The following is a 15,186-nucleotide window of genomic DNA, read 5'->3' on the forward strand; positions in this document are numbered from 1 at the left end:
GGTGGCATGTGCCTCTAATCCTAGCTACTTGGGAGGCTGAGGCACAAGAATTGCTTGAACCTGGGAAGTCAGAGGCGGAGACTGCAGTGAGCAGACTGCTTCACAATTATCGTTAGTTCTTGCTCTGCTTCATTTCATTTTGTTTTTCTATTGGACTTTAGGTGTAGAACTGTACATTGAAAGAGATGAATTTTTAAAATGTAAACAGATAAAGAAATTTGCTTCCAAAAAATGCTGTGGGAGCCAGGAATGGTAGTATGAACCTGTAGTCCCAGCTACCTGGGAGACTGAGGCAGGAAGATTGCTTGAGACCATGAATTTGAAGCTGTAGTATACTACGACCACATCTGTAAATAGCAACTGTACTCTAGTAGCTGTACAACATAGCAAGACCTCGTCTCTTTAAAAAAAAAAAAAAAAGTGCGGACAGAGAGTGGTTGATGGAATTATAAACCAAGATAGGTCCTGATTTTGGGGTGTTTTTTTTTTAAGCTGGATGATAGACACATGGGATAAAGGAGGTGATGGAATCTTTATACCATTCTCTCTGCTTTTGTTTTATGCCTGTCATTTTCAATTAAAGTTAAAAAATGATGGAAAGAAAATTAAACAATAGTTTCCTTCACAAATCTCTTCCTCTGATGCTCCCCTGATGTTGCAGCTGGGGAAACAGAGATGGTATTTCTTCCCTAGAGCCGCTGCAGGGCTTCAGTTCCAATGGAGCCTAAGGTTGTTACTATTATCTGCAGAGTACTGTCACTGTTGTCTGACCTTCAATAAGTCACAACAATAATTTTGGGTTACATCAAATTCTGAGCCTTTAAGGATCTTAAAGTACTTACATATATGTTGTATCAGTAAGTTAAAAATGCTATTGCCTATAATAATTATATTATCACTGGAACTGAAGAAAAGATATTAAGTACACATTTACAAAGTCAAAATGAATCCAGGGCCTACCATATTCTGCTTGGCAATAGTATCTAGAACTCTGATAATCATCTATACAAAACAGCAGTGAAATAAATAGTTCTGGAAAGCCATTCTCAGTTCAAAGGAACCGGCATTAATTTCCAGGGCAAAAGGTAAGGGATACATGTCACCAACCAGTCTTTCTCACTTACCAATATACCTGCGACAACAGATGCCACAGCATTTCTTCTCTCACTCCAGTCAATACATTCACATTCTGGCCAACGAAAATTATCTAGGAAGCCTGCCATTTTTACTTCTTAAGCATAAATTTTTCATTAAATGCTGTATCCTACAAACAGAAAGACAAAAACTAATCAACCTAAGAAAATGTTTTCTAAAAGTAAAATACCTTACTCCTTTCTTAAAGCTTTACACACAACTTTACTTTAGGTCCTATTCTACTATAGTTAAGAAAAATTCAATACTTCAACAAGTACCTAATTGAGATGTATATAGGACTACGCTAGGACCCAAGGGGGAGCTTGCTATTTGATAAATGAGCACTATGGTTTTAAACCATGTCTAGGAGCTAGGTGCCGAGGTGGTTCACGCCTGTAATTCCAGCACTTTGGGAGGCCAAAGTGGGCAGATCACTTGAGGCCAGGAGTTCGAGACCAGCCTGGCCAATATTATGAAACCTTGTCTCTACTAAAAATACAAAAAATTAACTGGGCGTGGTGGCACATGCCTGTAATCACAGCTACTCGGGAGGCTGAGGAACAAGAATTGCTTGAACCTGGAAGGCAGAGATTGCAGTGCAAGATTATGCCACTGCACTCCAGCCTGGGCAACAGAGCAAGACTCTGTCCAAAAATAAATAAATAAATGAAATAAATTAAACATATCTAAAATATTTGACACTTCTTCCATTGAGAGGTAGATTTATGTCCTACCTTTGAATTTGGGTCAACAATAAAGACTAGTAGACCAGTAGAGTAGAGGAAGTGATGCTATGTAACTTCTCCATGCCACTTCCAAGATCAGGTCACAGAAGGCAATGGAGCATCTGCCTGGTTCTCTGGAACACTAATGCTTGGGCTACCATGCTGTAAGGAGACCATTTATAGGTGTTCTGACCCACAGTTACAGTTGAGGTCCCAGCTAACAGCTAGTATTAACTGCCAGACATGAGTAAAGACACTTTTAGGTAACTGCTATCCAGCTATAGCACCATCCCAAAAGTTTGAGCCTTCCCAGGTAAGGCACCAGATATATGGAGCAGAGATACATCATCCTGGCTATGCCCCTTCCAAATTCCTGACCCATAAAATCTAATAAACATAATAAAATGACTGTTTTAAGCCACAGGGTTTTGGCATTAATCTGTAACGCAGTAAGACATAACTGGAAGAAGGAGAAAAATCATGTGCCTAAATAACTATAGGAGTGTAGCATACTATTTTTAAAAACAAAGATATTATGTAAACATGAAATGTTTCAAGGCCACCATAAATTCTAGAAAGAAATAAAAAAAAAATTGAAAGCACTGGACAGGGCTGAAAAACAGGCAGAAATTGAAAGAAACTTCATCCTTGAAAGAAAGAAAACACAGCCAGATGCGTGGTGGCTCACGCCTATAATCCCAGCACTTCAGGAGGCCGAGGCGGGTGGATCATTTGAGGTCACGAGTTCATGACCAGCCTGGCCAACATGGTGAAATCCCGTCTCTACTAAAAATACAAAAATCTGAGGCAGGAGAATCGCTTGAACCCGGGAGGCGAAGGTTGCAGTAAGCCAAGATTGTGCCACTGCACTCTAGCCTGGGAGACAAAGCGAGACTGTGTCTCAAAAAAAAAAAAAAAAAAAAAAATCGGCTAGGCTCGGTGGCTTACGCCTGTAATCCCAGCACTTTGGGAGGCCAAGGCAGGCGGATCACGAAGTCAGGAGATAGAGACCATCCTGGCTAACATGGTGAAACCCCGTCTGTACTAAAAATACAAAAAAAAAAAATTAGCTGGGCATGATGGCAGGCGCCTGTAGTCCCAGCTACTCGGGAGGCTGAGGCAGGAGAATGGCATGAACCCGGGAGGCGGGGCTTGCAGTGAGCCACTGCCCTCCAGCCTGGGCAACAGAGAAAGACTCCATCTCAAAAAAGAAAAAAAATCAGCCAATCATGGTAGCATGCACCTGTAATCCCAGCTACTCAGGAGGCCGAAATAGGAGAATCATTTGATCCCAGGAGGCAGAGGTTGGGGTGAGCCAAGATCACACCACTGCACTCCAGCCTGGGCAACAGAGTGAGACTCCCTCTCAAAGAAAAAAAAAGAAAGAAAACACAGTAAGTGGGATCAGCTGTTCCCCTTAGGAACCCCATTAAACTCCCATTCCCAGCCCAGGGAGTCCCCTTGGCACAAAGTGGCCACAGTGGCAGCAAAAAGCCACAGTCTTCTTGGCTTGAGATGCCAGAAGATGGGAGTTCAGGACCACCATAACAGCTGGAAATTGAAGGGGGACATCTCGGAAAGGAGTAAGTCACAAAGAGAGCCCCAAACACTTTAAAATAAGGGAGACATTTTGGAATTTTCATTCCACCAAGTCAGGGAGGATCAGTAAACACCTTGGGGACATATCCTAACAAAATATAAAACCAAGTCTCCACAATTTCAAGGTGATCAGCCAATATTTTAACTGCCTGTTACAATAAAAAGCAATACTTTTCAGATGAAGATAACAAAATTGACTCATATTATTCACAACGTCCAATATATACTAAAAAAAAATCACTAGACATGCAAAGAACCAGGAAAATGTGATCTATTTTTAAGGAGGAAAAAGAACAGTCAATAGAAATAAATCCCAAAATGACTCAGATATTGAAATTAGCAGACAAAGACTTTAAAGCACCCATTATAAAAATCATATTCAAGGACTTACAGGAAAACATGGTCAAAATAACTGAACCAATGGAGAATCTTAGTAGAGAAAAGGAAACTATTTTTTAAAAAAAGAATCAGGAGCCAATGTGATGGCTTGCACCTGTAATCCCAGCTACTCAGAAGGTCGAGGCAGGAAGATTGCTTGAGGCCAGGACTTCAAGCCCAGCCCAGGCAACATAGCAAGACCCTGTCTCTAAAAAATAAATTAAAATGTAAAAAGATTCAAATGAAAATTCTAGGGGCTGGGCGCAGTGGCTCATGCCTGTAATCCCAGCACTTTGGGAGGCCGAGGCAGGCGGATCACGAGGTCAGGAGATCGAGACCATCCTGACTAACATGGTGAAACCCCGTCTCTACTAAAAATACAAAAAATTAGCCAGGCATGGTGGCAGGCGCCTGTAGTCCCAGCTACTCAGGAGGCTGAGGCAGAATGGCGAGAACCCGGGAGGTAGAGCTTGCAGTGAGCCGAGATGGCACCACTGCACTCCAGCCTGGGCAACAGAGCGAGACTCCCCTAAAAAAAAAAAAAAAGAAAGAAAGAAAATTCTAGAACTGCAAATTACAATGTTTGAATTTAAAAATTAAATGGGCCGGGCAGGATGGCTCACACATGTAATCCCAGCACTTTGGGAGGCCAAGGCGGGGGGATCACGAGGTCAAGAGATCGAGACCATCCTGGCCAACATGGTGAAACCCCGTCTCCACTAAAAATACAAAAACTTAGCTGGGCATGGTAGCAGGCACCTGTAATCCTAGCTACTCAGGAGGCTAAGGCAGTAGAATTGCCTGAACCCAGGAGGCGGAGGTTGCAGTGAGCCGAGATTGCACCACTGCACTCCAGTCAGGCAACAGAGCAAGATTCCATCTAAAAAATAAATAAATAAATAATTAACTAAATGAACTTAATCGCAGATTAGATACAGTAGAAGAAAAGGACAGTAAACTTAAACATCAAAAGAAATTATCCAATTTAGAGACCTGAGGAACAATACTAAGTGGTCTAAAATATATGTAATTAAAGTTCCCAGAAGAAGAAAAGACAGAATAAGAAATAAAAAAATTTTGAAAAAAATAATAGATGGGCTGGGCACGGTGGCTCACACCTGCAATCCCAGCACTTTGGGAGGCTGAGGCGGGTGGATCACCTGAGGTCAGGAGTTCGAGACCAGCCTGGCCAACATGGTGAAACCCCGTCACTACTAAAAATACAAAACTGGGTGTGATGGCACATGCCTGTAATCCCAGCTACTTGGGAGGCTGAGGCAGGAGGATCACTTGAACCTGGGAGGCGGAGGTTGCAGTGAGCCAAGATCACACCATTCATTGCATTTCAGCCTGGGAAACAAGAACAAAACTCCATCTCAAAAAAAAAAAAGAATAAATGAAAATTTCTCAAATTTGGTGAAAAATATTAACTTATAAATCCAAAAAGCTCAGCAAACTCCAAGGAGGATAAATACAAAGAAAACATCATAATCAAACTGCTGAAAACCAGAGATACAGAGAAACTCTTGAAACAGTCTTATGGGGAAAAAAATCAATACAACATATACAGAGACAGAACAATAGGAATGATGGCTCACTTCTAACCAGAACAAAGGATACTAGAAGACACAGGAATGACACTGTTAATAACGCTTTAAGACAAAAAAAATCAGGCCAGGTGTGGTGGCTCATGCCTGTAATCCCAACACTTTGGAGACTGAGGTGGGCAGACTGCTTTGAGGCCAGGAGTTCAAGACCAGCCTGGGCAACATGGAGAAACCCCATCTCTAATAAAAATACAAAAATTATCTGGGCATGGTGGCCCTTACCTGTAGACCCAGCTACTCAGGAGGCTGAGGCACAGGAATCACTTGAACCCAGGAGCTGGAGGTTGCAGTGAGCTGAGATCGCACCACTGCACTCCAGCCTGGGCAAAAAAGTGAGACTCTGTCTCGGAAGAAAAAAAAAAAAAAAAAAAAACTCAATCCCAAATTCTATACCCAGCAAAAATATTCTCCAAAAATGAGGATAGCCAAGCATGGTGGTGTGCACTTGTAGTCTCAGCTACTCAGGAGGCTGAGATGCAAGGATCACTTGTGCCCAGAAGTTCGAGGTTACAGTGAGCTATGACAGGTGACACAGTGAGACCTTGTCTCAAAAAAAAAAAAAAACAAGAAGGTGACAGCAATTCTACTCCTATCTAACTACCCAAGAGAAATGAAAATATATCTTCACAATAACTTGTTCATAGCAGCATTATTCGTAATTGCCACGGAGTGGAAGCAACCAAACATACATCAACGAATGGATAAATAAAACATAGCACATCCATACAACGAAATACAAATTCAGCAACAAAAAGGAAAGAGGTTCCTACTGATAGATGCTACATGAACGAACCTCAACAACTGACTAAGTAAAAGACAGAAGACCATATATTGTGTGATTCCATTTACAAGAAACATCCAGAATAGGCAAATCTATAGACATAAAGCGGATTAGTGGCTGTCTAGGGATGGGGAGAAGAAAGATACAAAGTGACTGCAAAAGGCTACAAGATTCTAAAACTAGATTGTGGCAATGACTGCACAGCTCCGTAAATACTAAAAATCATTCGACTGTACACTTAAAACAGGTGAATGTTACAGTATATATACTGTATCTCAACAAAGCTGTGTTTTTTGGGGGGCAGGGGAGGGGGTTGTTGTTGTTTTTTTTAAGAGAGACAGGGTTTCACCCAGTTGTCCAAGCTGGTCTTAAACTCCTGAACTCAAGCGATCTGCCTGCCTCAGCCTCCCAAAATGCTGAGATTACAGGTGTGCACCACCATTCCCAGCCAGTTTTCTTTTTTTTAATAAGAGTAAAATAATGGTACTTCCAGGTAAACAAAAATTGAGATAATTCATCACCAAACCTGCGCTAAGAAAGAAATGCTAAAGGGAATTCTTCAAGCTGAAAGGAATGATACCCGATGAAACTGAGACCTACAAGAAAAACTGAAGAGGCCAGGTGCAATGGCTAACACTTGTAATCCCAGCACTTTGGGAGGCCAAGGTGGGTGGATTACCTGAGGTCAGGAGTTCGACACCAGCCTGGTGAAACCCTGTCTCTACTAAAAATACAAAACCAAGCTGGGCGTGGTGGTGGATGCCTGTAATCCCACCTATTCAGGAGGCTGAGGCAGGAGAATCGCTTGGACCCGGGAGGCAGAGGTTGCAGTGAGCCAAGATCGTGCCATTGCACTCCAGCCTGGGCAACAGGAGTGAAACTCCGTCACCAAAAAAAAAAAAAATAAAAATAAAAATAAATAAATAAATAAAATAAAATAAAATAAAAATAAATAAAATAAAAAAGCAAGAGAAAGATAAACACAAACAAATCAGGACAGAGGCTACCTCTGGAAGAAAAAAATGCAAACATTTTGTTCCCCCACCGCCACCACCCCCAAGACAGAGTCTCTCTCTGTCACCCAGGATGGAGTGCAGTGGCGTGATCTGAGCTCACTGCAACCTCCACCTCCCAGGTTCAAGCAATTCTCCTGCCTCAGCCTCCCAAGTAGCGGAGATTACAGGTGCCCACCACCACGACCGGCTAATTTTTATATTTTTGGTAGAGACAGGGTTTCACATGTTGGCCAGGCTGGTCTCCAACGCCCAGTCTTCAGTGATCTGCCTGTCTCAGCCTCCCAAGATGCTGGCATTACAGGTGTTGAGCCACTGCGGCTGGCCAAACATTTTGTTTCTTAATCTGGTAGTGGATACAAAATGATCATTGCAATAGTATTCTTTAAATTATACATGTTTTATATGCTTTTTTGTACCTGAGATAAAATTTGCAATGAAAGAAATTATTACTATTTTTTTTTGGGAGATGGAGTCTCGCTCTGTCGCCCAGGCTGGAGTGCAGTGGCACGATCTTGGCTCACTGTAACTCCCGCCTCCTGGATTCAAGCAGTTATCTGCCCCCACCTCCCAAGTAGCTGGGATTACAGGGGCCCATCACCAGGCCCGGCTACTTTTTTGTATTTTTAGTAGAGACAGGGTTTCACCATCTTGGCCAGGCTGGTCTTGAACTCCTGACCTCGTGATCCACCCGCCTTGGCCTCCCAAAGTGCTGGGAATACAGGCGTGAGCCACCGCGCCCAGGAAGAAATTACTTTTAAAAAAGAACAAGCAGCTGGGTGCGGTGGCTTACTCCTGTAATCCCAGCACTTTGGGAGGCCAAGGTGGGCAGATCATGAGGTCAGGAGAACAAGACAATCCTGGCTAACACGTTGAAACCCCATCTCTAATAAAAATACAAAAAATCAGCTGGGCGTGGTGGCACGCACCTGTAGTCCCAGCTACTCGGGAGGCTGAGGCAGGAGAATCACTTAAACCCAGGAGGTGGAGGTTGCAGTGAGCCAAGATCTCACCACTGCACTCCGGCCTGGGCAGCAGAGCCCCCTCTAATCTGAAGGACCTCTCTTATCACTTCTGCCAACCCAATTAAATGAGGCAATATAACCTTAAGGTCAACACCACTTCGTGGTAAGAAGAGTAATAAATCCTCTATTATTTAATACAGTCTTCAAAATTTTCTGTTCCAGCCTCTAAATATAAAAGAATATATAGAGCCAGGCACAGTGGCTCATGCCTGTAAACCCAAGACTTTGGGAGGCCTAGGTGGGTGGATCCCCTGAGATCGGGAGTTCAAGACCAGCCTGACAAAAGCCCGTCTCTACTAAGAATACAAAATTAGCCGAGGTGGTGGCGCATGTCTGTAATCCCAGCTACTCAGGAGGCTGAGGCAGGAGAATTGCTTGAACCTGGGAGATGGAGGTTGCAGTGAGCCAAGATCACGCCATTGCACTCCAGCTTGGGCAACAAGAGCAAAACTCCGTCTCAAAAAATAATAAAAGAATATATGGAATCTTAGAAATGCATTTAATTCAAATAGATTTAGCTACTGCTTTTAAATTATAAAATCTTTTAAGTTATAACATCAGGCGTGGTGGCTCACACCTGTAATCCCTGCACTTTGGGAAGCCGAGGCCAGCGGATCACGAGGTCAGGAGATTGAGACCATCCTGGCTAAAACGATGAAACCCCGTCTCTACTAAAAACACAAAAAATTAGCTGGGCGTGGTGGAGGGTGCCTGTAGTCCCAGCTTCTCGGGAGGCTGAGGCAGGAGAATGGTGTGAACCCGGGAGGTGGAGCTTGCAGTGAGCCGAGATCGCACCACTGCACTCCAGCCTGGGCGACAGAGTGAGACTCCATCTCAAAAAAAAAAAAAAAAAAACAACTTTAAGTTTAAAAAGATTCCTTGTGAAATAAAATTATATCAAAGTACAATCATCTGTTTATATTATCTACTTGAAACTTACCCTAGAACGACAAAAAGATTTTCATAAAGCAAAGCTTTTAATGGCTAAAACCCAGAAACAGTCAAAATGTCCATCAATAAGGAACCAAAAAATGTATATTAGGGTACATCCAAACAACGGTATACCATGCAACATTCTGAAAATGAGGCAAGTTGGCTGGGCAGGATGGCTCACACCTGTAATCCCAGCACTTTGAGAGGCTGAGGCAGGTGGATGGCTTGAGTTCAGGAATTCAAGACCAGCCTGGGCAATATGAGAAACCCGTCTCTACAAAAATTACAAAAATTAGGCATGGTGGCACTCGCCTATAGTCTCAGCTTCTCAGGAGGCTGAGGTGGGAGGATCGTTTGAGCCCAAGGCTGCAGCAAGCCGTGAGGGAACCACTGCACTCCAGCCTGGGCAACACAGTGAGACCCGGTCTCCAAAGTGAGGGGTGGGGTTGGGAGGAAATGAGGTAGGTCTCCACGTGCTTATGAAGGAAATGTGTCCTTATATTATCATCAGTTGCCGAGCAATATTATAATATAATACCCTCCTAGGGAATGGAATTGAGGATGTAAAGAGTGAACAAACAAGGAATTCTAACTTGACATACCTCTGCGCTGTCTGAATTTTACTTGATATTCTTCTGTCATGTTTAAATGTTTTAAACAACCTGAATGTTACTTTAATCATTTAAAAAGTAAAACGGGCTAGGTACGGTGGCTCACGTCTGTAATCCCAGCACTTTGGGAGGCCGAGGCGGGGGGGGGTTACCTGAGGTCAGGAGTTCGAGTCTCTACTAAAAATACAAAAATTAGCTGGGCGTGGCGGCGGGCGCCTGTAATCCCAGTTTACTTGGGAGGCTGAGACAGGAGAATCGTTTAAACCTGGGAGGCGGAGGTTGCAGTGAGCCACGATAGCGCCATTGCACTCCAGCCTGGGCAACAAGAGCAAAACTCGGCCTCAAAAATTATATATATATATACATAAGTTAAAAATAAACTTTAGGCCGGGCACAGTGGCTCACGCCTGTAATCCCAGCACTTTGGGAGGCTGAGGCAGGTGGATCACGAGGTCAGGAGATCGAGACCATCCTGGCTAACACGGTGAAAACCCGTCTTTACTAAAAATACAAAAAATTAGCCGGGCGTGGTGGTGGGCGCCTGTAGTCCCAACTACTAGGGAGGCTGAGGCAGGAGAATGGCGTGAACCCAGGACGTGGAGCTTGCAGTGAGCCGAGATCTTGCCACTGCACTCCAGCCTGGGAGACAGAGCAAGACTCTGTCTCAAAAAATAAATAAATAAATAAATTTAAAAATAATAATAATACACTTTAAAAGGCCAGGCGCGGTGCCCACACCTGTAATCCCAGTACTTTCAGAGACCGAGGCAAGCGGATCACTTGAGGTCAGGAGTTCAAGACCAGCCTGGCCAACATGGTGAAACTCTCTCTCTACTAAGAATATAAAAATTAGCCAGGCATGGTGGCAGGCGCCTGTGATCCCAGCTACTCGGGAGGCTGAGGCTGTAAAATCCCTTTAACCCTAGAGGTGCAGGCTGCAGTGAGCAGAGATCGGGCCACTGTACTTGTAGCCTGGTCAACGAGGGAGACTCTGTCTCAAAAAAAACAGAAAAGGAAAATGAGGATAAAATACGATAAATTCTTTACCTTGGCCCCCAGAAGTGAATTCAGAATTCAGAAAAGACTAGCCAGTGTAAGGCTGCTGTAACCCTAGTTGACAGAGAGGAGGGATTGGGGTGGTGAGTGGGAAGGCTGTGTCTCCGGAAGAAGAAATATACGTCCCCACCTCACTCTAATTAAACCTGCTTTTCCAGCGCGATAAATATTCAAGATAACTTTTGGTTTGCATTTCAATAACAAAGTCTTGCACCACTATCTTCAGTTTAAAAAAAAAGTTTAATGTTTGCTCTACGTTTGAAATGCATGCAGGTTTAAAAGACAAGAAACAAAATGATGAAAAAGTGTGACCGGCCTGAGAGTTCAGAGCCTCTGAAGTGTCAAGGGATCCACAGTGCAGGTAGGATGAAGAGTCTGAGAAGGGAGATGGGATCCTCCGAAAAGAGAAAATCGGGTCTTACAGCGCGATGTAAGACGATGCGGATGCCACTTCCCTCCCACCCCGTCCCGTCCGAGGCCTCCGCCCCCTGCCCCTCCGCACCCCCCGACCCAGGCACGCGCAGCGGGGAGCAGCCCAGCCTAGCCCGTCTCACTGCTTTGGTTTTGAAAGGTCACGTATTTACCTTAGAATTTCAGCACCTTCCAACTTACTGTTTTAAGTACCTTTAACCAGCCTATTGGCTAAAAACCGAAACGGTCCTACCCGCGACTACCACTGCTCCAGTGACAATGCTCTGCTGCTACTTATTTAACGGAGCTCAAGGTTTATAATTCTCGAAAGAATGTTGTTCCCCTTCCCTTTCCCCTCCCGCCTCTGTACTTGACTCTCGTAAGAATGAAATCAGAAAAGTGCAGAAAACACAGGCTCCTAGCAATGGTTCGGGGCAAACGGGAGGGGCGAAGAAGGGCTGGAGCCGCCCCGGGGCCCTCGCTCCGGCCTCGGGAGGGCGTCGCGGCCGCAGCAGGGCGTCCCGAAAACCGTCGCCTCCGTGCCCGCCGCGCGAGAAGGTGAAAGGCACGAGATGGAGCCTCTCCAGCCCTCCCCAGGAACGCAACCTGACGGCGTGACAGCGCGGCAGGGCAGCCTCCCCGGGCTGCTTGCGGGTCGCGGCGGCGCCACGGTCACGGTCGGCCCGAAGGGACGCGGGCAGGGGCAAGAAGGGGCGGCGGGGGCTCCGCGGGCCCGAGTCTGCAGGCCGGCGCCGAACGCAGGGAAAACCCGGCTGGACGGCCCCACAGCCCCCAGAAGGCCGGGCCGGACAGGGCCCGACGAGGGAGCCTCCTTACGCGCGGGCGGCGGGCGCGAGCCCTCTACGGTTGCCTGGCGCCGGAGACCCACAGACAGGACTCACCCAGCTTCCTCAAACGCCCACGCCGACTTCAGGCGCGCGCGCAGGAAGGAGACTGCTGCGCCACAACCCTGCCGGCGTCCCGCGGCTCCACCTCAGCCCCGGGAGCCCGGAGCTGGGAGCAGACGCGAGGATAGAGCGCCGGTGAGGCGGGGCGAGGCGCCGTGTGCACCGCAGCGACCAATCGGAGCGCAGCAAGTGGCCGGCCGGGGGCGGGGCGGGACGCGAGGGGGCGGGGAGAGGGCGTTGGCTGGGCGCAGCGGGACGCCGGGCGCTCCTCGCGACCAATCGGCGTGCAGCAAGTGGCCGGCCGGGGGCAGGGCGAGCTCCGAGGGACGGGGTGGGCTGCTCTGCAGGCCTCCCGGAGCCGGAGTTCAGACCCAGCTATCTACGGTTCCGGGCAGAGCGGGACGGGCCTCTCCTGTCCCCTGCCGGTGGGCGGCCGCCGCCGGGCTCCCACTGCTGCGTTTCTGCACGCTGACTTGAAGTGCAGTACCGTGAGATTACGTGCGGACGGAGCTCGAGACCCGGGGGACCAGGGTTTCCCTTCGCCTATGGCCGATCAGTCTTGTCTGTCTGCGAGCTGCCCAGAGTAGGGAAGGTGCTCCGGGAGGGTTCTCGGGAACGGAGGGTCTTTAGAGATGCCTTTTTCTAATCCCCTCAATTCAGAAATGGAGCCCCAGAAAGTTGAAGTTAGTAAACCAGGGCTACCCAGCGAGTGCTGGTTACCCGAGGTGATCCTCACAATACAACTAGTCTTCTGATTTCGCTCGGCGCTCTCCCGTCTATTCACGTAGATTTTTGTCTTTTTTTTTTTTTTTCGTCTTTCTTATAGTCAGATATCTTTCAGCCTCTTGGATTTTCAACATAACTTTAACAGCGTTTGGAAGCCCCGTCTAAATTTCCTACAGAAATGCCTATAACCATTTAGTTGTTTGGGGGAAAGTCGAGCTTTGTTTTTTGGGTGGTTTGTTTGTTTGTTTTGAGACAGGGTCTTGCTCTGTTGTCCAGGGTGGAGTGCAGTGGTGTGATCTTGGCTCACTGCAGCCTCTTACCTCCCACGCTCAATCAATCCTCCCACCTCAGCCTTCCGAGTAGCTGGGATTACAGGTGCGCACCACCATGCTTGGCTAATTTGTGTATTTTTAGTAGAGACGGGATTTCACCTGGCTGATCCTGAACTCCTGACCTCAGGTGATCCACCCGCCTCTGCCTCCCAAAATGCTGGGATTACAAGCGTGGGCCACTGTGCCCAGCCAAGTAGAGTTATTATCAGTGGAAATCTAAAAAGCATTTTACTTGAGGCATAATGAAGTAAAAGGTTTTGTATCATGGAATTATCACCAAAAATGCCATCCTGGATAATGTTCTCCTATAGCTCTTATACATGGGCTAGGATCTAGGTGTTCAATAAATATGTGCTGAATAATTTACTTTTGAAATATGTCACAATGCTGGCATTCCACCAGAAGAGAGGATACAGAAGGGAACACTCTCCTCTCTTTAAGAACCTTTTGAAAGGGGCGGGGGTTGCATGTACCATTTTTGTTTTCATTCTGCTAGTAAAATAGTCACTTGACTACACCAAATTGCAAAGAAGGCTGGAAAATGGGGTTTCAGTACTAAGGAAGGAAAACTAGATATTAGGGGACAATTAGAAGTTTCCAAATCTCATCACTTTTTTTGGGGGGGTGGGGGAGGCATCCCAAAGGGCAGACTGGTTTATTAGGCAGCAGCCAGGAAAATCAGCGGTTGGACTTGTCCCCACACTCCAGCTCATCCTTCTTGTTGATGGCATAGGAGCTGGAGGAGGCCTTGGTGGCATTGATGAGCTCATCCGCCAGGCACTCAGCAATGGTCTTGATGTTCCAGAAGGCAGCCTCACGAGTGCCTGTGCACAGCAGCCAGACGACCTGATTCACACAGTGCAGTGGGGACATGTCCACAGCCTGTTGTCTCACAGTCCCTGCTCGCCCAATGCATGTGGAGTCCTCCCAGGGACCACTGTTGATGATGGCGTTCACCAGGACCTGGAGAGGGTTCTCGCCTGTGAGCAGGTGGATGAAATCGAAGGCATGCTTGATGATGCACATGATCATGAGCTTGTTGCTGTTGTTGCAGCCGTGCATCATCATGGAGTTAGTGAGGGGCTCCACAATGGGGCACTGAGCTTTGCGGAAGCATTTGGCTGCATACCACCCAGCACTGTGAGGCAGGTACTTGGCATACTTCTCCTTCACTGCAGTGTAATCCTGCAGGGAAATGCCATTGATCTGCATATCATCAGTGCTCCACTTCCCAGAGAGCTTGATGTCAAGGGGTCTCTGCCACTGCTGGTGCTGCTGTCTCCCACTCGGTCATCCTGAGGGCACAGCCTGAGTGTCTCTGTCGATCAGCATGGACCACATGCTGCCCTGGCACAGACAGGCCATTGCTTTTTAAAGTACTAATATTTTAAGGTTTCCCAGGATTTTTTTAAGCTTTGTTACAGAATAATATCTGTAGAAAAATGATTACCTCCATATATGAAGGAAGACATTACTGTTCACCTACCGTTGGGATGCACATGCTTTAAGTTGCTTTTTTAGTAGTGGAGACTTATGTTAATGCAGCTTGTCTGAAGTCCTTTTCTACTGCTATAACAGAATAACACAGAACAGGCAATTTATAAACAATAGTGTTTTATTTGGTCCACAGTTCTGGAAGCCGGGAACTCCAAGAGCATGGTGCTGGCATCTTGTAAGGATTTTCATGCTGTGTCATCCCATGGTAGAAAACAAGACAGACAGGGGCCAACGAGCATACAAGACAGAAGGAGAAAATCAGGCTGACGCTATCCTTTTACCAAGAGCCCAATCCCAAGATAACTAACCCACTCCCACAATAACAGCATTAATCCATTCGTGAGGGTGGAGCCCTCATGACCCAATCACATCTTCAAGGTTCTACCTCTCAACACGATTACAATAGTAATTAAGTTTCAAACACATGAACTTTTTGGGGACACATTCAAA

At 46.3% G+C, this 15,186-nt stretch overlaps 1 protein-coding gene and 1 pseudogene across 5 annotated transcripts in view; both read right to left on the reverse strand.

Annotated features, from left to right (window-relative positions):
• TMEM50B (transmembrane protein 50B) overlaps nt 1-12,312 on the reverse strand; it is a 47,489-nt gene extending 35,177 nt beyond the window's left edge. For all 5 annotated transcript variants that reach the window (NR_040016.2, XM_011529746.3, XM_047440989.1 and 2 more), the window contains exons 1-2: nt 12,176-12,312; nt 1,125-1,264 (exon numbers count right to left, since the gene is read on the reverse strand). Coding sequence is in view for 4 of the 5 variants with exons in the window: in XM_011529746.3 (XP_011528048.1) it covers nt 1,125-1,223 (99 nt within the window). In the remaining variant the exon portion in view is untranslated. The remainder of the gene's footprint in view (nt 1-1,124; nt 1,265-12,175) is intronic.
• RPS5P3 (RPS5 pseudogene 3) lies at nt 13,877-14,600 on the reverse strand (annotated as a pseudogene).

This window comes from Homo sapiens, chromosome 21 (assembly GCF_000001405.40).
Source record: "Homo sapiens chromosome 21, GRCh38.p14 Primary Assembly".
NCBI classification, from domain to species: domain Eukaryota; kingdom Metazoa; phylum Chordata; class Mammalia; order Primates; family Hominidae; genus Homo; species Homo sapiens.